At 35.0% G+C, this 24,347-nt stretch overlaps 1 protein-coding gene across 19 annotated transcripts in view; it reads right to left on the bottom strand.

Annotated features, from left to right (window-relative positions):
* Positions 1-24,347, bottom strand: part of TBC1D19 (TBC1 domain family member 19) — a 282,243-nt gene that overhangs the window by 222,641 nt on the left and 35,255 nt on the right. For 17 of the 19 annotated variants that reach the window (XR_001741277.2, XR_007057936.1, XR_925333.3 and 14 more), the window contains exons 2-4: positions 23,038-23,110; positions 21,826-21,871; positions 15,591-15,666 (exon numbers count right to left, since the gene is read on the bottom strand). The exons of 1 other annotated variant lie outside the window; for it this stretch is intronic. Coding sequence is in view for 9 of the 18 variants with exons in the window: in XM_047415904.1 (XP_047271860.1) it covers positions 15,591-15,666; positions 21,826-21,871; positions 23,038-23,110 (195 nt within the window). In the remaining 9 variants the exon portion in view is untranslated. The remainder of the gene's footprint in view (positions 1-15,590; positions 15,667-21,825; positions 21,872-23,037; positions 23,111-24,347) is intronic. One more of the 19 variants, XR_007057937.1, reaches the window with a different exon arrangement.

Here is a 24,347-nt window from a genome sequence, read left to right as displayed (position 1 = left end):
AATGCCATATGATGTTTTTTGTCTTTTTACTAAATGTGCCTACAGACCACTTCTGGCTCACTGAAACCAAAATAAAACAATACCAAAGTCCCAAAATTCAGACCTAATAAGGAAAGAAGGGGAGAATGGTATATTACTCATAAAGAACAATTAATAATCAATAATCAATTAATGAAAGTGGAATAATAACAACAGTTCCCTTATATGGCTGTTACAAAGATTAAAGATGTTAATACATGTAAACTGACTCAAACAGTGGCATAATATGATAATTATCATTCAATAAGTGATGGCTTTTACTACAGCTATCATTATTCATAGCTTCTTCAACACACACATTCAAATACATTAGTCTTTATCTGAAATTTGCTCTCCAAGCTCAACTCCCACCTCCAACATTCTTATTCTTGTCTAAATAAATCTTATTCACCTTTTAGGTATCAGCTTAAATATCCCTTCCTCCATTAAAACTTTTCTCACCTGGTCCCCAACCAAGATAGCATTAGGTGACTTTGCTTATGGGCTTTCATAACACCCTGTCCTCCACCTATCATGGTACAAATCACACTATGTCTAGCACATAATAGATGCTCAATAATTAAACATATTTCTACTCTAAGTAATGTTGCAAGTATTTTAAAAAATTTTAATGCAATGGCCCAAGCAGTGACTGAACAGAAAAAATTCTTCTGAAGAATAAATATCGAGCTATGTGAAATGTATAAAGTTCAGTTTACTACATTTATAGAAATAGATTTTCAAGAATAAAAGCATACTCAATACATTACATGAAATAGCTCCCAAATTAACTCTATTTATTGGCTTATTTTAATTCTCTCCTTAACTATAAATAATTCTCTTAGATCCCAGACTTATTTGGTACCTCTTATTTGGGTACATTGTTAATGAGCAAACATTAATTATAATGATACAACCTACCTTCCACATTCATTATCTTTACACCCACCTTATTTAGATAAATCTCATTCACCTTTCTGATGTCAGATTAAGTATCATTTCCTCTAACAAGCCTTCTGTTACCTGCTGCCTCCCACCCCAAATGGTGGAGAAAACAGGTAAGAAAAAGCTTATTAAAAAATACTTCTAATTAAATGATCACAATAAAATAAAATTTGCATACATATTAAAAATCCAATCCCTGGATTTTTATTTATCCTATTATAAGGAACCAAATTGCTAGTTATTAAATTATGGTTACAAATATTCTCATTTTCAATCACTCATGCAAACAGCTCTAGAATTGATAAAAAGGCATTAACTCTCAGACATAAAAACAAAATTAAAGTTATTAAATACAATAGACATGAATGTGCAGCTCATAATATACAGAGTTGGCACGTGAACAACATAGGCTTGAACTGTATGGGTTTACTTATATTTAAATTTTTTCCAATAAATATACTGGAAAAAATTCTGGAGATCAGCAACAATTTCAAAAAACCTCACAGACAAACCATATAGCCTAGACATATTGAAAATTTTAAGAAAAAGTTGGGTTTGTTCTGAATGCATAAAATATATGTAGATACTAGTAGTCTATTTTATCATTTCCTACCGTAAAGTATACACAAAACTATTATAAAAAGTTAAGTTTTATTAAAAACGTATATATACTTTCAGACTATACATGGTACCATTTGAAGTTGAGAGAAATATGAACAAACATAAAGACGCAGTATTAAATCACAACTGCATAAAATTAACTGTAGCACATACTATATTACTGTAACAATTTTGTAGCCACCTCCTCTTGCTATTGAATTCACAGTGAATTCAAGTGCTGTGAGTATCTGCTTGAAACCCTGGGTGATGCTAATCATCTCCATGTGAGCAGTTCCACAGGCCTGTAAATTGTGTATTGCAGTAAAAAGTGATCTCTCGCAGTCTCACATTTTTTTATTGTGTTGAGCACAATATTGCCCCTGAATAATGCCATGGGACCCATACAAAAAGCCACTAGTGATGCTAGAAATGCTCCCAAGAAGAAAAGTCATGACATTGCAAGAAAACATTGAATTGCTTGATATGTACGGAAGATTGAGGTCTGCAGCTGCAGTTGTCCATCACTTCAAGAGAAATGAATCCAGCATAAGGACCATTGTAAAAAAAGAAAAGGAAATTCATGAAGCCATGGCTGTAGCTACACCACCAGAGGTGAAAATCTTGCATTTTTTTTTTTTTTGCAAAATACTCTTTTATCTATCTAGCATTGAAAATACAGCTTTTATGTGGGTACAGGGTTACTAAAGGCATACCCATAGACTCCAAATATGATTTGAGAAAAAGTGAAGTCATTACATGACAATTTAAAGCAAAAGAAAGGTAAAGGATCTAAAGCTGGAGGATTTAATCCCAGCCAAGGATGGTTTGACATTTTCAAAATCAGTTTGGCTTAAAAATGTCAAGATAACAAAAGAAGTAGCTTCTGCTGACCAAGAGGCAGAAGATGAGTTCCCGATGCCATTAAAATCATTGAGGAAAAAGGATATCTGGCTGAACGGGTTTTTAATGCAGAAGAGAGTGCCTTATTCTAAGGGGGAAAAATTGCCACATAGGACTTTCATTAGTAAGTAAGAGAAGCAAGTACCAGGATTTAAGGCAAGAAGAAATAGGCTAATTCTACCATTTTTTGTAAATGCAGTTGGATTTAGGAACAGGACTGCCGTTATCTGTAAAGCTGCTAACCCCTGAGCCTTGAAGGGAAAAGATAAACACCAATTGCCAGGCTTTTGGTTTTAAAACAAGAAGGCCTGGACAACAAGAACCCTTTTTCTGGATTGGTTCAGTTTATGCTTTTTCCCTGATGTCAGGAAGTACCTTGTCAGTAAAGGACTGTTTTTAAAGCTGTTTTGATATTGGACAATGCCCTTCACCTCGCAGAACACCACGAGTTCAACACAGAAGATATCAAATTGGTCTACTTACCCTCAAACACAACGTCTCTAATTCAGCCTCTTGGTCTGGGTCATAGGGACCTTTAAGGCTCATTATATACAGCATCCTATGGAAAAGATTTGCCAATGCTATGGAAGAGAAACCCAATACAGAGATCATCATGAAAGTCTGGAAGACTTATACCATTGAAGACGCCATTGTTGTTATGGAAAAAGTTGTGAAAGCCATCAGGCCCAAAGCAGTAAATTCCTGCTAGAGAAAACTGTTTCCAGATGTTGTACAGACTTCACAGGATTTACAAGAGAGTCAATCAAGGAAATAATGAAAGAGATTGTAGATATGACCAAAAAAGGTTGGGAGTGAAGGGTTGCAAGATACAGATTTTAGAGAAATTCAACAGCTAATAGACACCACACCAGAGGAAGTTAATTAAAAACAACTTGATGGAGATGACTGCTTCCAGACCACTGTCAGATAATGAGGAAGAACACGTAGAAGAAGTGGTGCCAAAAAACAAATTGACATTAGACAATCTGGCAGAAGAGTTCTGATTATTCAAGACTGCTTTTGACTTCAGTGTCCATATCATAGAAGGGTCCATTTTGCAACATGGACCCTTGAAACTAAAGCAAACAGTGAAAGAGGACTGGAACCATATAGAAATATTTTTAGAAAAATGAAAAAGTAAAAATGTCAGGTGGGAGTTACAATGTATTTCTGTAAAACTGCACCAAGTGTGCCTGCCTCTCCTGTATCCCTTCCACCTCCTCTACCTCTTTTGCCTCTGCCAGGCAAGACAGCAAGACCAACCCTTCCTCTTCCTCCTCCTCCTCAGCCTACTCAATGTGAAGATGATTTATGATCATTTAGATGAAGATATTTATGATGATCTACTCCCACTTAATAAATAATAAGTATATTTTTCTTACTTATGATTTTCTTCATATTTTCCTTTCTCTAGTATTCCTTATTATAAGAATATAGTATATAATATATATAACATATAAAATATGTGTTAATCCACTTAATGTTATCAGTGAGGTTTCTGGTCAACAGTAGGCTATTAGTAGTTAAGTTTTGGGGGAGTCAAAAGTTATATGTGAATTTTTGACTGCATGAAGGGTCAGCACCCCTAAACCCCACATTGTTTAAGGGTCAGCTGTACTGTACAAATTTTCAAGACTGCAATACACAATTTTAAAACAGCATAAAACTTACTAAAAATTCAAACATGAAGGCCATTCAAAATAGAAAGATAACTTTTGGAATGACACCTAGACAAGATGTTGAATATTTGTTAAATTATCCTTTAAATAATTATTTTGGCAAAAACAGCTCATTCAGGTATTTTCTGTAAAGTGATGAATCACAGTTCTCCAAATATAGATATCCCATTGTATCAAGAATTTCAATTTACCAACTCTAAATTTAACATTAGATGTAATATATAGAGAAAACAGTCAAGAGAAAAAGTTACACAGAAAAGAAATTAGACATCATAAGAAAGTATTCTCAATGGAAAGAGTTGATGAAACACAACTATGTGATTTACATGTGTTTATGATGTTATTTTACTAACCTATAAGATGTGTGTCATTACTATCATTTTACAAATGAGGAAACTTAAAAAGTAACACATGAAAGCACAATGAGAAAGACTGTTAAGAATGTAAGAAGTGCTGATTAAAACTTATTTGATTACCATTTTTTTCTGAGCTACACAATTAAAGCAGGAACTTAGAAATGACCCGGAACAGAGAAATACTATGACTAAACATTGAGGAAAGAAAAGAGTATGTCCAATTCAGAAAAGTGGGGTTTTTTAATAACTAGAACAGGGGAAAATGAGGTATATTATCTGAGTTTTTAAATGATGAAAATACATTGATTTAGCAAATATTTATTAGCCACCTATTAAATACATGCCACTAAAGATGAATAAAACAGCATTCCTGTCACTAAGCAACACATCACTTTTTTGGTGGAAGTCAGGAGGATAAGACAGATATACAAATAATATGGGACAGAGATAGTTTGCAAAAAGTTCATAAGATCTGTATCAGTCCATATGTCATAAACTACAGAAAAAACATGAAAGAATGAGCAAACAGAAAAGCTAGATATGGCTAAACTTGAACATTGTCAATTGAACATATACCACTTCCTTGAAAATCCTAAACATAAGGAAAGAAAAGTGACCCCAGTTGCTGGCCATGTCTATCCTCTGTCCCATATCTATAACACTATGTCAAGGTGGAGAGGTCTTTTCCAAGGTATCTCTTGCAAGAACTTCAGTCAGATGGTAAGTGAAGTCATTTCCATTGAAATCTTGGATGGTCAAAGGAGTCAGTTCCACAGTTATCAGAAACAGGAATAGAATTTCCTGACAATGAGGGGAAATCCAAGATGAAGAAGCAAGCAGCTGCTTTCAAGCTTGGCCATCCTTTAGGTTTCCTCAAGAACTCTAATCTTAATTAAGTGGTATCCATTCATTCCTTTATTCACTCGCTGACTCACTGACTAATATATTAATATACTGAATGCTGTCTATGTGCCAAGCACAAAACGAGGACCAGTGAGTAAATGTAGTAAGGAGCAGATGATCATTTAATATTAAAAAAGACACTTTGCAACAAGTAGAAATATTTACCTCAAATATAACTTAACTCAGTGAAATTATGAGCTCCTTGTTTCCAGAAGTCCTGGAGCAAAAGGAGATGAGAAGTGAACACTTGCCAGAGTTTGGAATGGATAAACTTGAGGTCCACTCTAGCTCCAGTTTTATAGACACAATTTTTCTCAGGTCCTATTCATGGAGGTGGATAATTAGGCCCTAAGTCTTAGAAGAAATGCCAAAAAAAAAATCATGATTATGCCTGTGCTATTATATAATAATTTCAATGTACATTTAGCACCCCAAAATAAATAAATAGATGGTTTCTACCCAAAAGACTTACAAAATAAATTCAAAGCTTTCATGTTATTCAAAAGGAAAGTGAATGGTTTTTAACATTTAAAATGTTCAGATAGGAAGACATCTACCTTTTACCCAAACCTATATCCTCTCTAAATGAAATTATTGTTGCCTTCAAGTAAATTTCCCTAATAATTGGAATCTATGGTATTGACTCAAAGGATTTCAGGAGTTTCATAAATAAAGCAATTTCTAAGTATGAGAAGCAAAAAATTTATAAAAGATTCATGATCATACTAATTTTTTTAAATTAGTATAGCATTACTACTTTTTAATAACAATGAAGGTAAATAAAATGACTTTTAAACCATATATTAAACAAATAGCACGTAAAAAAAACAATGAAATTATAAAATCAGAAAACTATTTTCTTCACTGTGACAAAAAAACTAATTATAACCCAGCTATCTAACAGAAAAACATTTTAGTAATTCTTCTCTGATAATAAAAATAATACATCAAACAAAAACAACCAATATTAATATATTTTCTTTCATTTTTCTATGCATGTATATGTGTGTAATTGAGACATAAAAACATATATATTTTGGATTAAAGTGAAATTATGTTGTTTTATATTTTGCTTTCTCCATATAAGATTATAATGTATGCCTTTTCCTATTCATTATAATTCTTCAAAAATGGACATTTTTGATGCCTATGTAACATTGTTTCTTTTGGAAACAGCATGTCATATTTAAGCAAGCTCTACTGTTATTCATTTAGATTCTTTTAAATTTTTTACTATTATTACGAACATAAGTTTCTGTGTTTCTGATTCTTTATACAAGGTTCTAGAAGTGGAATTACTAAGTCAAAGGGTCTGAATATTTTCTAGGAATGTTCTCTATTTTTTGTTTATGCTATTCATTCATAATTTTTTTAAAATATCTATTATCTACCACGGGCTGGGGACTGTGCCAGATGTTGGAGATACAGTGGTGAAAAGAGAGACTCAGGTCCTACTTCACAGACACTAAAGAATCTAAGTGATGATAGAAACAACCCAAGTATTATAGTAGAGAAGTATAGGGGGCCTCTCCTGTGGAGGATGGATGAGACCGGAAAAGTACCTGAGTATCTGAGATCTGGGAGTCAGAGAGCCATCCTAAACAATCTATCATCTCACTTGATAACATAAATGATGTGCAGAAGCTAGCCAGAAATATATGGGATGAGAGGAGGCAGTTTCAAGTATACCCAGAAACATATGGGATGAGAGGAGGCAGTTTCAAATAGACGCAGTGGCATAAGCAAAAGTTCTCCTATTGCAACAAGTGGAAGAGGTCAAGTATGATTAGAGAGAGAGAAAGTATGTGCATGGCAGGTTGGGGAAGAACGGTGTGAGAAGGCAAGAGATGAGACTGGAACTAAAGAGGTCAAGATCATTTCTAGCTTTGTAAGCCATAATAAAGAATTTGATGGGGATGGCATTGAATCTATAAATTACCTTGGGCAGTATGGCCATTTTCATGATATTGATTCTTCCTACCCATGAGCATGGAATGTTCTTCCATTTGTTTGTATCCTCTTTTATTTCATTGAGCAGTGGTTTGTAGTTCTCCTTGAAGAGGTCCTTCACATCCCTTGTAAGTTGGATTCCTAGGTATTTTATTCTCTTTGAAGCAATTGTGAATGGGAGTTCACTCATGATTTGGCTCTCTGTTTGTCTGTTATTGGTGTATAAGAATGCTTGTGATTTTTGTACGTTGATTTTGTATCCTGAGATTTTGCTGAAGTTGCTTATCAGCTTAAGGAGATTTTGGGCTGAGACAGTGGGGTTTTCTAGATATACAATTATGTCATCTGCAAACAAGGACAATTTGACTTCCTCTTTTCCTAATTGAATACCCTTTATTTCCTTCTCCTGCCTAATTGCCCTGGCCAGAACTTCCAACACTATGTTGAATAGAAGTGGTGAGAGAGGGCATCCCTGTCTTGTGCCATCAAGCTACCAATGACTTTCTTCACAGAACTGGAAAAAACTACTTTAAAGTTCACATGGAAACAAAAAAGAGCCTGCATCGCCAAGTCAATCCTAAGCCAAAAGAACAAAGCTGGAGGCATCATGCTACCTGACTTCAAACTATACTTCAAGGCTACAGTAATCAAAACAGCATGGTACTGGTACCAAAACAGAGATCTAGATCGATGGAACAGAACAGGGCCCTCAGAAATAATGCCACATATCTACAACTATCTGATCTTTGACAAACCTGAGAAAAACAAGCAATGGGGAAAGGATTCCCTATTTAATAAATGATGCTGGGAAAACTGGCTAGCCATATGTAGAGAGCTGAAACTGGATCCCTTCCTTACACCTTATACAAAAATTAATTCAAGATGGATTAAAGACTTAAACGTTAGACCTAAAACCATAAAAACCCTAGAAGAAAACCTAGGCATTACCATTCAGGACATAGGCATGGGCAAAGACTTCAGGTCTAAAACACCAAAAGCAATGGCAACAAAAGCCAAAATTGACAAATGGGATCTAATTAAACTAAAGAGCTTCTGCACAGCAAAAGAAACTACCATCAGAGTGAACAGGCAACCTACAAAATGGGAGAAAATTTTCACAACCTACTCATCTGACAAAGAGCTAATATCCAGAATCTACAATGAACTCAAACAAATTTACGAGAAAAAAACAACCCCATCAAAAAGTGGGCGAAGGACATGAACAGACACTTCTCAAAAGAAGACATTTATGCAGCCAAAAAACACATGAAAAAATGCTCACCATCACTGGCCATCAGAGAAATGCAAATCAAAACCACAATGAGATACCATCTCACACCAGTTAGAATGGCAATCATTAAAAAGTCAGGAGACAACAGATGCTGGAGAGGATGTGGAGAAATAGGAACACTTTTACACTGTTGGTGGGACTGTAAACTAGTTCAACCATTGTGGAAGTCAGTGTGGCGATTCCTCAGGGTTCTAGAACTAGAAATACCATTTGACCCAGCCATCCCATTACTGGGTATATACCCAAAGGATTATAAATCATGCTGCTATAAAGACACATGCACACATATGTTTATTGCGCCACTATTCACAATAGCAAAGACTTAGAACCAACCCAAATGTCCAACAATGATAGACTGGATTAAGAAAATGTGGCACATATACACCATGGAATACTATGCAGCCATAAAAAATGATGAGTTCATGTCCTTTGTAGGGACATGGATGAAATTGGAAATCATCATTCTCAGTAAACTATCGCAAGGACAAAAAACCAAACACCGCATGTTCTCACTCATAGGTGGGAATTGAACAATGAGAACACATGGACACAGGAAGGGGAACATCACACCCTGGGGACTGTTGTGGGGTGGGCGGAGGGGGGAGGGATAGTATTAGGAGATATACCTAATGCTAAATGACGAGTTAATGGGTGCAGCACACCAGCATGGCACATGTATACATATGTAACTAACCTGCACATTGTGCACATGTACCCTGAAACTTAAAGTATAATAATAATAAAATAAAAAAATAAAAAATAAAATAAATAAAAATAAAAATAAAAAATAAAATAAATAAAAATAAAAATAAAAAAAAGAATTTGAGCTCTATCCTCAAGGTATTGGAAATTTTAGGAAAAGGAGTGACAGTATAGAAGGCAAAAAGACCATTAGGAAGAGGGTGAGAACTGAAGTAATGCAAAATTAACAAAATTATCATTTTTGCCAAGGTTACTGGATTGACAGAGAACAGAATAAATTCAACCACATAGTACATCTTGAGTTTGCCTGAGCATTTCTGAGCTAGATAAACAGACTGAACATCAGGTAATGTAAATTCTGGAGCCAGGCTGACCAGGTTCAAATCTCAGCTCTACCACTTTCTCATTTTGTAAAGTGAGAACTAAGACCACATTAGTAACCCACCTCATAGGGTTATCATGAACATTAAATGAGTGAGTACATGTATAGCACTAGAATATTACCTAGGATACAATTAGGGATCTATATGCTTATTAGTATTGTTTCACAAGAAAACTCATGCACTTATATTTATCACACTGTATGTCTTCAAATACAGCTTTCACTGAAGGGCGTAGCAAAGTATTTCCCAAGGTATTTTACATGGAAATAGGGTTTCATGATCAGTAAGCTTGAACAACACTGGATTAAATAAAATTAAACAGGTTTCTTTCCTGCAGAACTTCTCCAAACCTTTAACATGCCACAATAATTTGTGCACAACAAAATTAAAAAATATTAAAACTCAAAGTAGAAAATGAATATCCATGAGTCCATACTGATGTAAATAAATAATTGAATACATAAATAAATGGGGAAGGAGAGAAACTCTTTCATGCAGAGGAATTCCAAATAATTTATGTAGATACCCCTCCCTCAAAGAGGTGGAACATAATTCTCAACTCCTTAAGTATGGTCTATATGTAGTGACTTCCTTCCAAAGAGTACAGTATGGAAAGAGGGAAAAAGAGTAACATTACAGTGGAGAAGGCTCACAAATACTACCTCAGTCAGATGATCAGGGTTAACACCTACAGCGATAAATCATGCTAATAGTATGTACCCTGATATGATGTGATAAATGTAAATGGCACTTTACATCTGTGATCTTCCTCCAAAAAACCCACAATCCCAGCCTAATCATGAGAAAACATCAGATAAATTCCAAGAGAGGGATATTCTACAAAATATCTGAACAGTACTTCTCAAAACTGCGAAAGTCATCAAAAACAAGGAAAGTCTGAGAAACTGTCATAGCCAAGAGAGTCTAAAGAGACATGACAACCAAATGTAATGTAGTGTCCTGGATGAGATCCTGGGTCAGAACAAGGACATTAGGTTACAACTAAGGAAGTGTGAATAAACTACGGACTTAAGTTCATAATAATGTATCAACCAATATGGCTCATTAATTATAACAAATGTACCATACTAATGTTAAGATGCTAATAATAAGGGAAACTGCGTATGAGATCTATGAGAACTCTCTGTGCTAACTTCGCAAAACTCTTCTAAAATACGAAGTCCAGTAAAAATAGTAAAATAAATTGTGAGTCATCAAGAGGAAAGCAGTGTTCCTCAATTTGCAAACTTCCTTGTCCAAGGAACCATTTTTTGTGGAGCATCTCTCAAGGTTAGTATTTAGCAGAAAACATTCTGGGAAATGCTGATACAGAATAAGAAGCTTCATAACCTCATGAGCCCAGAAAATTAAGTACCAGTGTAGCTTGCCAGAAACTGCAGGAAGCTGATTTATAACCCAACTCTGAAGACATGATCAAGAGCTAAGTGAAGTTAAAGTAATTCATAAAACTTTAACTGAAAAAAAAAAATGAATTGAATTTTTCCAGGGTACAATTCAAAATATTTTCTACCCGTGTTTTACTGAATACAAAGTGAAAAGAAACACTAACTGGATTTTTAAAGCTTCTTTTTCATTAAAAAGGGCAAAGAATAACCTGGTGGGAAACCACTTGTATACTACTCCTTCCCAGTGCGTGGACGAAACTTCCTAGTCACTTCCCGCTAGTCACACAGCACTTTTTACTTTGTATTACATCTAGTGTCCAAGTCTTATTTCAATTACTAAACCTTGCAATTACTTGAAGGCAGAATCTGTATCTAATTTATTTCTGAATTTCTGCAGCATAGAATCTTCTACTGAGTAGGTATTCAGTAAATATCCTTAAAATAAATAGTGTAATAATTGGGAAAATAGATGGCTAACTCCTTTACTATCAATCCAACATAAAGTTACTAAGCTCCTGCTACATAAAGGCCAGTGTACTAGATGCAGCAGTTATGTAAAAATGTTTTTAAACTGTTACTTCTTTCAAGAGGCATATAATAAATGTCAGAAAGATGTATACAGAAATTACTATAATAGGCCGGGCATAGTGGCTCACGCCTGTAATCCCAGCACTTTGGGAGGCTGAGGTTGCAGTGAGCTGAGATCATACCACTGCACTCCAGCCTGGGTGATAAAGCAAGACTCAGTCTCAAAAAATAAAAATAAAAAAAAAGCAATTACTATAATAAATTGCAATTTGTGCTAAGGGCCATAAAACAACAGGGAGCTATTCAACAGAGTTCAAGAGAGAGATCCCTTTCAACAGGGGTAATCAATAATAACATCAGAGAAGAGATGCCATCTGAGCTGACCCTCACAAAATAGATAGGACTTTTGTAACACAAAACAGGCAGAAAGGGCTTTCCAGGACAGGAAAACAAGTGTTAATGATGCAAGAGGGAAAGGCAAAATGATTCACTTGGACAGGCACATAGGACAGTTATAAGACAGCAGAGACTGACAAAGTGGAAGGGGAAGGCTGAGGACAGACAGTAAAAATTCTTAAATGCTGGGCTCTGGAATCGGAACTTCATTTTTTAGGCAACTGGGAATAATCATTGAAAGTTTGTTAAAAGGCAGTGAGCTATAAGGGTTCGTCTGCTTATAATTAAAGTTAATAGTATTGAGAGTACATAAGGAGATTGGGAGAGATAGACTGAAAGTTGGGAGGTATAAAAATAAGATAAGGATGTGAATTAAAGCACAATGTCTAAAATAAAGTAAACAATAAAAGGCAACATTATCAGCATTATCACCATCATCATCATTATTGTGACTACTATGGTAACAGCCTTGGTAATGAAAAGAAAGAGGAAATTATAAGACTATGGGAAGAAATAATATATAGCACTTGATCACTAGTAACAAAAACAGGAAGTTCAGGAAGAGATGGTCATTTTAAAAAGAACACAAACAGTTTTAGACATGTTAAGTTTGATCTCACAGAAAAAAGATGTGCAGCACACAGTTGATCTTAGAGGATTGGAGCAAAAAGAGATGTGGCAACAAAAAAGAAGGAAGCTGTGGAAGCTTGAATGAGATAACCTGAATATTCTTTATAAAATATAAGTGAGAAATGCTTAAAATGAGTGAGACAGAGGTTGAATTAGGGGCCACACAAGCATGAAAAAGTTTTAGAACAACCTAAATGGAAGACAGACAATGAATAACAAATATAATATTGGCAGACAGCAAAAAGAATCCACTGGAAGTTAAACAAATGAATTGAGACTAGATAATGGTTAACACAGAAATTACATGATTTTCTCTTGAAGTAGTCAAAAGTTTGGGAGAAGAGAGAAAGTAAACAGTAAAAGTAGCCTTAGACTAAGGAGTAGAATGGCAGACAGAACAGAAGTCTGTTGGGGAAGAGATTATGAAACGTAAGGAAGAACATGATGCAATACAAGTCATGTGATCCAAACTAGGTAGCTTTCATGGAAAGAAGAGAGAATTGCCCCCCAAAATAGGGAGCTAAACAACTAAGTGTCTCAAAAAGAACAAATATAGAAAGACAGATAGATACTTACTGATAGGGGAGGTAATCAGTATGGCCATGGTTAAAGAATCAATTAGCTCAGCAAACCTTATCAAGAGTGTTCTGTGGGCTGGGTACTATGCTAGATGCTGACGATAAAAAGCACAATCCCTGCTATTGAAGAATGAATAATTTAGTGCGGGGATAGGCAAACCTTGTATGAAAGGGAAGATAGTAAATATTTTAGGCTTTGCAGTCCATGGGTCTCTATTGCAACCACTTTAGGCTGTCACTGTTGTGCAAAAGCAGCAACAACCAATATGCAAATGAATGAACGTGACTATTTTCCAATAAAACATATCTTAGTGATTCATATAGTTTTCATGTGTCACAAGATTATCCTTATTTTGATTTTTCAACCACTTAAAAATGTAAAAAAAGTAAAAATAAAATTCCTAGTTTGCCAGCCCTATAAAAATAGGTGGCAGGTTGGATTTGGCCCAGGGGCTGTAGTTTGCAGATCCGTGATATACATGGGAAAGTCCAGAAAGAAAAGAGAGGAGTATCATACGTGTACCTATCACTCACATATATTCTCAGCAGCTAGCAGTAAGCTCTAAGAGTCGACTTATTATTTACCTCTCTATCTCTTCTTTTCAGTCATGATTTAAAAAAAAAAATTTATGTTTTGTTTCTTACACCTAGTATGTTAAAACTGATACTTTCTCTATACTGTTTAGAAATTTTCAATTTCACTAAAAAATATTCAGGCCCAACCTTCTTAGTTTTATTTTACTGAGTTTAAATCTTTATTATTATTATTATTATACTTTAAGTTTTAGGGTACATGTGTACAACGTGCAGGTTTGTTACATATGTATACATGTGCCATGTTGGTGAGCTGCACCCATTAACTCGTCATTTAGCATCAGGTATATCTCCTAATGCTATCCCTCCCCTCTCCCCCCACCCCACAACAGTCCCTGGTGTGTGACGTTCCCCTTCCTGTGTCCATCTGTTCTCATTGTTCAATTCCCACCTATCAGTGAGAACATGCGGTGTTTGGTTTTTTTGTCCTTGCAATAGTTTGCTGAGAATGATGGTTTCCAGTTTCATCCATGTCCCTACAAAGGACATGAACTCATCATTTTTTATGGCTGCATAGTATTCCATGGTGTATATGTGCCACAATTTCTTAATCCAGTCTATCGTTGTTGGACAATTGGGTTGGTTCCAAATCTTTATAACAAAAAAAAACCCACAATTCTTTCATATATGTATTATTTATTATGCTTTATGACAAATTGATAAATAAACATTAACTGATTTCCAGCCCTAAAAGATACCACCTAGAGATAGAAATATATACTTCCTCAAATATCTCCAAGGTTTTTATTTATATTGCTTCTTTTCACCATCTAATTTTTTGATGATTTTTTTAAATAAAAATAAAAGTCGAAAAAAGTGCCTAATTTCCACTGTTGTGGAATGTGATGACTCTGCAGAAAATTTTCAAGAGCAGAAGAACCATGATGATAACTGTGGAAGCTGAGTGATGGGTTCATGGGAGTTCTTTGAGGTACCTTTGAAATATTCCATACCAAAAAAGGTTTTAAAAATCCATCTCTGAGGCTATGCTGAAGAATGAAGGTCGACTGACTGTGGTGCTCATTACGTGCCTCAGCAGTGGCAGTCACAGAGTCCTACTCAACCAGCACTGTGAGGAAGGCTTACGGACAGGACTGGACTGAGGGGAGGTGAGTGAGGCTGTGCTGAGATGAAGGACAGTTAAAAGAGCTAGGGGCATGTGCTAGAACTTCTTGAGCTTCCATTTTAACAACTATTCATAGTTTTTATACTTAAATTATTTTATTTTGTCATTTTATTCTTAGTTTTTTGCCAACCCATTTTGATAGCAGGTTTATCAGAGTTCTACAATAGCATACAATTAATAGGTGACAGCCTACTGCGAGAACAAATATATTTTAAATACACTTTCAATAACACTGGCTTCAAAGGCCAAAATTTTAAGGAAAGAGGGTGTCAGTTCATTCACATTTCATTCCTTTAATATCACAGGCCATGAAGAATAGATTGCCACATTACACTTGTACCATATTTTAAATTGCAGGCCAGTATAGTAGATGATTTTTCCCCTTCTACCCCATTTTTTCCAGGGTTGCCATAGTTAAATAGGTATGATCCTTGGTTACTGAATATAAAATGGGAGAATATACAAATACTATTAACATAAATTTAGTGGTTCTTACCCAGTATTTCATAATTAATAATACATACTCCTGACATCAGTAATGATCTTTTGCTCTGTATTACATAACTTGGCATGAAAAAATAAAATGAAATTGAACAATAGCCAACCTGTGCTTTCCTCATGTATACCAAAGGTTCTTTAAGATGTTCAGGAGGTGCAGCAGGATGACTAGGTAAAGGAAACCTAGGAGCAAAAAGAGGCAGCTAAATATCACACATTATTCTCTTGGTTAGATATTACTTACCTCTGTAGTCCATGTTATAAACTGTTTTCCCAGTAACATTTCATTTTATATTCAAAATGTACTGTTTTTATTAAGAAAATAGATTGATGTAGTCAACAAATACTTGGGCCATTCTAGGTACTAAGTATAAGGTGGTGATTGAGATAACATTCTCTGTTCTCATGGACGTAACATTCTCGTGAAGAAAGCCAATAATCACAAACACATACAAATAAAATAATATCAGATTGCAGTAAGTGCCGTGAGAAAATGAAAGCAGGGTAATAAGACACAATAAATTTGGAGGTCAGTGAAGTCCTCTTGGGGATTTTATATTTAAACCAAGACATGAGTGTGAAGGAGCCAACCATGCAAAGATCTGGGGGAAGAATATTCCAGGCAAAGGGATGGCAAGCACAAGAATTCTGAGGAGGTAATGCTTGAAATGTTTAAGGATCAGAAAAAGTCAGGGCCACTGGAACATAATGACTGAAGTGCAGAGTGGTATGAAATCACAGATAGAAAAGGCAGTAGGAAGACATGATGGTTCAATGTTTATTTGGAGATTCCAATCCATTTCACAACAATATATAACTCCTCTTGAAATTAGTCATCAGACTTGTACCTACAGCAAAACAGTCATGTTCCAATAATCAGGAACCATAGACTGAATTCTCAATAAATTCCTGGTCCAAAGTGGGACAAAAACATGTAAAAGGTTAATAATTTTCAAAACCACTTGCATCTGTCCTGGAGCCTACATGTAAAAGGCTAAACTGTCCATAGAAACATTGCTGGAATAGAGAAAGGCAACCTATCCAACCTAATCTATAAGACAGCTTCACAAATTGATTATTTCTGGCAAATTATTTTTCTACTAAAATCTACATTTCATGTATCTTTCGCATTCACAAATGAAAAAAAATTTAAGTCTCTAGATACCTTGATATTTCTTGTCTTATATGTAAGACAGTTTAAAAACTATCTCACATTGTCCAATATACCATTTGCTTCCACTTTTAATGGTAATTATGTAAAATTTAATAAAGCTTAGAAATTTAGGATTAAGGCCAAACGTGGTGGCTTATGCCTGCAATCCCAGCACTTTGGGAGGCCGAGGTGGGTGGATCACGAGGTCAGGAGCTCGAGACCATCCTGGCTAACATGGTGAAACCCCGTCTCTACTAAAAATACAAAAAAATTAGCCAGCCGTGGTGGCACATGCCTATAGTCCCAGCTACTGGGGAGGCTGAGGCAGGAGAATGGCGTGAACCTGGGAGGCAGAGCTTGCAGTGAGCCGAGATTGCACAACTGCACTCCAGCCTGGGCAACAGAGCAAGATTCCGTCTCAAAAAAAAAAAAAAAGAAATTTAGGATTAAAATTTGAGAGACTTTACTGATGATCTTAATAGTTATTTAATGATCAAAGAAACATATCCAAAATACAGGTAACAAGAGGAGACAACTTGAAAGTCATTCATATTAAGACCAAAATCAAGTTAGATATTTATTTTTTCAGAAATATTTAATGACAACCTACTCAATATAAAAGAGATACAGAAGTGAACAAAACTAGCTAAAATACCTGCCCTCATGGAGCTTACATTTAGTAATATGCAGAGATAAGAGTTGCCAGATAGGAAAAATGCACAGAAACTTATACAGCACACTTGACTCTATTTTTTCTTGTCCCCCAAGTCTCCCTAAATAACCTAAGATGTTCTACCCACTGACAGTAAACTATTTTAGGCAACCATTATTCCTTGCCTACATTTATCCAGCAGGTTCCTAAGCGCTTCCAGACTGTTTTCAACCTATTCACCAATTTGCCTGGATGTTGGCCAGAAGTGATGTCTTCCTTATTCACCAGTAATTGTAACTCCAGCATTGAGCAAAATGCCTGGTACACAGTAGATAACCAATATATTGCTGAATGAATAAAATGCAAATTTGATCATGTTACTATTTTACTTACAATTTTTAAATGGCACCCAAATGCTTTTAGGATCCAGTCTACAAAGTCTTAAGAGGCACAATCCTGTTTATAAATCTAGAATCGTCCTTAGCCATGATCCCTTCACCTGCTACCATTCAGCCATACAAACTTTTGTACCATGTTTGCACCACACTCTTTTCCATTTCTAAATCTCTGAGCCTGCTATTCCCTTCTGCCTGAAGTGCTTTTCTTCTCTACTCTTTCCCCTGAGAAACTCTAGCTTAGCTTTCTGATCTCAGCCTGGATATTGCTTCCTTTGGTAAGCCACCATGACATCCCCAAATCTAAGTTAAATGCCGGCCTTACGTGTTCCTTGTATTTCCCTAATCATTGCACTTATTTTACTGTACTGTAATTGCCTCTTTAAAGTCTGTATGCCCAACTGGGATGTAAGTTCCAGGAGGCAAAGACTGTCTAGCCTGTTCATTAACAACAGCACCTGGCTCTGTGCACAATAGCAAACATACAGTAGCATTTCAAACTAAGAGGGCAAAGAAGAACTGTATGTTTAGGACGTTTCAGAGGTACCCAGGTCTACTGCTTGAGCACTCTCCCAGCGAAAGCCATGAATGTGTACGAAGACTTACCCAAATCTGTGGTCTAGTGTAAGGTATCCATTATCTAACATCCTTCCATTTTAGACCCACTACTGTTTGACACTTGTAACTCTCTAAGGTATGGTAGACATTTGCATATATCTACTATAACAGCAAACTATGCTATATGTTTTTATAACATGCACATATAGAATAAGATTGTTAAGGTTTATTTACTTCTTTATGTTCCTTGAGGGAAAAAGAATAGGTCATCTAATTTCTTATAAACTGCTCTGTACAAAGTACAATGAAGACTAACACACAGAAATAAATTGATCTATTTTCATTTTGCATGTAAAGATTGTCTTAAATACAGTAAGGCTAAGACTAATAATTGCACTGTCTCCTCAACTCAACAAATATTTGTCATGTGTTAGCATTGGTAGGTGGCTCAATAACTATTTGCTGACTCAATGTCATTTATTTGATGCTATAGGAAATATGAAAGAAATGTAAGACACAATTTTTGTTCCAGAACATTTTTAATCCAGTCAAGAGATAAGACATATACCTATGTGAGACATAGTAAAATGTATGGGCTTTGGAATTATATAGCTGGAGGTTAAGGCCTAGCACTGCCATTTGCTAGCTATATGATCTTCAACAAGTTACTTAAGTTTCTGCCATGGTTTGAATGTTTGTCCTTTCCAAAACTCATGTTAAAATTTGCAATTGTAACAGTATTAAGAGGTGGGATCTTTCAGAAGTGATTAGGCCATAAGAGCTTCACCTACGTGGGTGGGATTGGTGCCATTATAAAAGGGTGGGTTAAACCCCCTCTTGCCCTCTCACCTTCTGCCATGGGATAATGCAGCAAGAAGGCTCTCACCAGATGCTGGCACCTTGATATTGGACTTCCCAGCCTCCAGAACTGTGAGCCAATAAATTTCTGTCCATTATAAATTACCCAATCTCAGGTATTCTGTTATAGCATCACCAGACAAACTAAAACATGGTTTAAGCCTCAGTTTTCTCTTCTGTAAAATGGTGATCATAATAAATTTTACTTCATAGGGTTGTAATGAAGATTATATGGAATAAGCCAATGCATATAAAGTGTTGGCATAAAATAAGCATTCAATCACTGTAAATTATCATTAATACTAAATAGCTATTAACACAATAATATATAACTAATTGTTTTAAATGAATGGAAAAGATAATTAAAGTATGCAATCTGAAATGGAGAGTGCTAACCTACACTAGTTTAAAATTTCATGTAAATAAAAAAATACAGAAAATTTTCTAGTGTATTTGTTAAATAAGAAACTGACTAAAATCTTTGTAATGCTTACTAAAACAAGTAAAACGAAGTGTGCTGTTTTCAGTCTGTATAGTCTGTATAGCTCATGTGTTCTATACCTCTATTAGGCATAAGGATGTGTATTTTTTATCTCCCATTGTTTAATATTACCTAATGAATATTCATACTTTCCTTTTTGCTTTCCTTATTCATCCATCTAATGGTTGCTGCCAATGAAAAATGCAACAGAATACGCTAAGTCTTCTTTATTCTTTTGACTTATGTTAGGGGAAATGTTTCTTCCCCACCCTTGATGTGCACTTCCATATGAAAAGAGTTCCATTACTGTAACATTCTTGGACTCTCTCTAAGGCTTAACTCAATACACCACAGAAGAGGTTTAATGCCTTATTCAACTTTTAAATTTGAGAAGAATAAACTGAACATACTGCCCCTGATCCAATGCTATTTGACTGGAAGGTTAAATCCATTTAATTCTGGAGTTCAGCTGAAAGACTAATTTTGCTCTCATACTAAGCTATGTCCTCCTATCTAGTCTTTATCGGTAATGAAAGTGTAATTTTGATCTCCCATCTGCTTTTTTGTTTTATCTTGTTTCTTAATTTGTTCAGAACCCAAATGAGGAATAAAAATAATATCACTGGACTGCTTAAAAAAAAATCCCAACGAGTTATTCAGAAAATATATACTTAAAGTTCTATTGTACAGAATGCCAACAATATGATAATGAATAAAACATAGTCCCTCCCCTATCAAGTAAAAGGTCAGTAGGTCACACAGAACAATTTTCAGGAATATCAGTAATATTGCCTCAGATTGAGAATCCAGTGTTTGGAATTATACACAACAGGCACCTTTAGTACATATTGTAAATTTAAAACCTTACTTGTCATGATAAATATCTATTCCTTTGGTGACTGCCAAAGGTACTGTCACAGTACTGCTAAAGGTATGGTCACAGTCAACTTCAATTATTAGATAGCACTTATATCTAACATTATTTAAGAATTCAAATCCAACTGGGAAGATGGATTTGAGCAAAGCAAAGAAGCAAATGCTAATTCTTTAAAAATTGTATCTAAAGCACATGTGCATAGGGGTTCATCTGAGTCTCTTTATTTTAGAAACAATTCTGGTAAGCTGCATTATGTCATTTCCCAGTTAACAAACTGGAAAGGTCAACTTGAAAATGGGAATGTTAAACACTAGAGAATGCTACAGACATAAATACAGTGATAGCAGTAAAGGAAAAAAAAAAAAAGCAGACGTGCAATTAGACTTGGGAACTCTGTTAGACTATGAACTCCATGAGGGCAGAAATTGTTTATTGTTCTATACTATATGCTCAGTGCTTAGTACGGTGCTGCCACATGGTAGGTATTCAATAAGTAATTGACAAGTAACAGAATGTTGGAGAAACTACAAAAGCTAACATTCTGGGTCTACATTTTTTTTAAATGGCAAACAGTTCTATACACCTTAATAGACCCTGATGTTAAATCTAAATAAACAGAAACATGGATATTCTTAATAATGACAACAATTTTGCCAAAGAACAAAAAAGATAATCATGATTAGAATGGATAGTTTATAAAGACATAAAAAAGTGTAATACCCAAAATGAGAACAATAAAAAGAATATTAGTAAGCTTCAGTTATCTGAAATATTAACTTCAGAGAAACATCTTATTCCCTAATTACACTAGATAAATGAATTGTTAATATAAAATAATGGGTGGGGCCAGGCACAGTATCGCATACCTCTAATCCCAGCACTTTGGGGGGCCAATGCAGGTGCATCACTTGAGGTCAGGAGTTCGAGACTAGACTGGCCAACATGGTGAAACCCTATCTCTACTAAAAATACAAAAATTAGCCAGGTGTTGTGGCAGGGGCCTGTAATCCCAGCAACTTGGGAGCCTGAGGCACAAGAATCACTTGAACCTGGGAGGCGGAGGTTTCAGTTAAGCCAAGATCATTGCACTGCACTCCAGCCTGGGCAACAGAGTGAGACTCCATCTCAAAAAGAAAATAAAAAAATTCAATAGTGGGTGGTAAAAAACAAAAACAAAAACACCTATTTCTTATTATTTGTCAGGCAAGACGGTAGTAATTTTTAATTGTATCAACTTACTTGAAATGCTGTATAAATATTAATGATAAATAATAATACAACAAGTATATATAACAATACTGGTTTTATTACTCACAAAGTAAATATAGCTAAACAAAATACTATTGTAAAATAGGTGGGAAAACTCACACACTCAGTTCACTATAAACAGCATTCTGAAGTTTCTTCTCCCAACCTGTTTTTTAAAAAAAGAATAAAATATATGAACATACTAGTTTTTAAGTAAACATACATTACAATTAAATTTATCTCAATAAAACTTTGGCATCATATTAATTTGTGAAAGAATTTTGTCAACTGCCAATCCCTATGTAAAGCGTTATTAAAGATTATTTCCTATACACTTACCATATCCCTTGTCTAACACTGAGTAGCAAAGTCATCAACATGATATTTTAAAATAATATCATTATTGCACCATTTTACCAAGTTGGGAGGAACATTTCCTTTTTCACTATCAAAGTGCTCAATGAATGTCAAAATCTTCAGATGTTGTACTACTAAAGCTATAAGGAATGTGCCAAGGGAACGGCAAAAAACAGCCACCTGAAGATAGATGACAAGTATCTAGTTATAATTCACACGTCAGCAAAGTCCTGGACGACAGAGGCAGATTATTGTGAGTTACCAATAGTCAGACAAGTTAGCTCAGCTGCTAACTATCTGGGTCAACCATTTAACATCTCAGTTCCCATATACAGATGTTGGACTAGGGAACCTCTCTCTCCTCTTGCTCTATGAAAAGTTAGAATTTTCTTTTTATTTTCTGTGAAAGCATACAAGGAAAAAAGTCACAACTGAAAAGTAAAATGAAAAATTACTTAACTAAGGAGATACTTAACACCTTATGGATGTATTTATCCATCAGAATATTACCAGTAAGGTAAACAGTATTTAAAACCAACTAATGCAAAGGAGTCTTTCTCACAGAGTTCTTGAATTTTTGCACCATTTTGTTAAAATGTCTAATAGTTCTAATTCTCCCTAAATAGAAACCTATTTGGCCATAGTTTTCACAATTTTGAATGAGTAATTGGAAGGCTGGGGATAAAATATTATTTATTTTGCCTTACAAGAGTATCCAAGAGAGAGAATACAGTCATGGGTTCTTAGTTTCTGTTTCTGACTGGGCCAGTAAAGCCCTTTCCTCATCTCTCTTTTCTGCTTATCACTAGAGACAGAAACCAAAAACCATGGCTTCAGGCTGCTAAAAGCCTAAAACAAAACAAAACAGAACGACAACAAAGTAAGGTGGTTGTACAAGCTTGAGGGCTTAAAGAATTAGGAATAAATAAAACATTTTCTTATTTTGCCTTAAGTTATTAGGAAAAACTTACAAACCTGATATTTTAAAGAATTCCTTAATATCTTCTTTCAGTGATTCAAGTTTAATCTCAGGTCTCTGAAGACTGGCCTAAGAATAATAATAATAATAAAAAAGAAAGATAAGGAAGGAAAAGATATCCAAAGTAAATCATTTGGGTTGATATTTAGAACAAAGGAAATGTTTAAAAAGGAGTGTTCAAAAATGTATACTACTTGAAAAATCCTCTTTGAAGATAGAGCTTAGAACTATCTAGAATAGCTTATAAGAAAGAAGACTTTCTCACTAACTCTTAAAGGATCTGTGATAGTATACTAAAGTCTACTAAAACTATACAAACTTGGAGATTATGAGTCCTTATCATCTTTATCTAGGGTCTCAAGTTGGAAAAATACTCAGATTTTATAAATTCATTGCCTTGATATTATATTAAATATATATGGCACCTGTATCTAATGACTAAAAAACCAGTTGCATCCATGCAAATGGATCTTTGCACAGTGTCTTCCTCTTTGGATTGCTTCTCAATGTAAATGCATTGTGTATATTTGTAGAAAATACATAAAACTACTAGTTCATAAATGTGTGTTATTAGTGTTTTATCTTCAAGTGCATGTTTCCTATTCTACTGGTTTTTCACACTGTAATTTTTACCAAAAATATAATTTTTCCTACTTGTAATGGCTTTGATTACTCTCAAAGTGTTGATGTTCCATCACCTAGCTCTGTCAAATTCTAGCAGCATACCTCTTCAGAAGGAATTTCTATTAGAGGATCTCAAATAGAGTATTTCAAACCTAAGAAATCAAAAACTGGTCTTATCCTCCACTTACTGTCTTGTTCCTTCTCTTACATTTTTTAAATCTTCATCAATAAAATTACCATTTACCAGATCTTCCAAGTTAGAAACTTCAAATTTATTCTCAATTCCACACTAACTCTTCCGTGATTCAATCCCTTTCTGGGAGATGGCACTGGTGGCAGTGAGATTTTTTAAAAAACCTCCTTGATTTCCACATAAAAACAGACCAAGCAACTAGATAGCAAAGCCAAATCCTTTGGAAAATATTCACAACAAAACTAGATGATAAGCTGTCCCCCAGAAATACAAGCAGCTGAGGATAAACCAACTGCCACAAGACCTCTAAGACATCAACATCTGTACAGGAAGAAGCAGAAGAAAGCAACTGACTATCTGATGTAGTGAAAACAAAAGAACCCAAAGTAGTCAACAAACATACATTTGAACACATGATGAGCCAACTTTAGAGCAGAAGTTAAAACAGGGAACGGTTTTGCCTAATTCAAATATAGCCAGGTGATATCT

Source organism: Homo sapiens, chromosome 4 (genome assembly GCF_000001405.40).
Source record: "Homo sapiens chromosome 4, GRCh38.p14 Primary Assembly".
Classification (NCBI taxonomy): Eukaryota; Metazoa; Chordata; class Mammalia; order Primates; family Hominidae; genus Homo; species Homo sapiens.
This window is presented reverse-complemented; position numbering and strand designations above follow the sequence as displayed.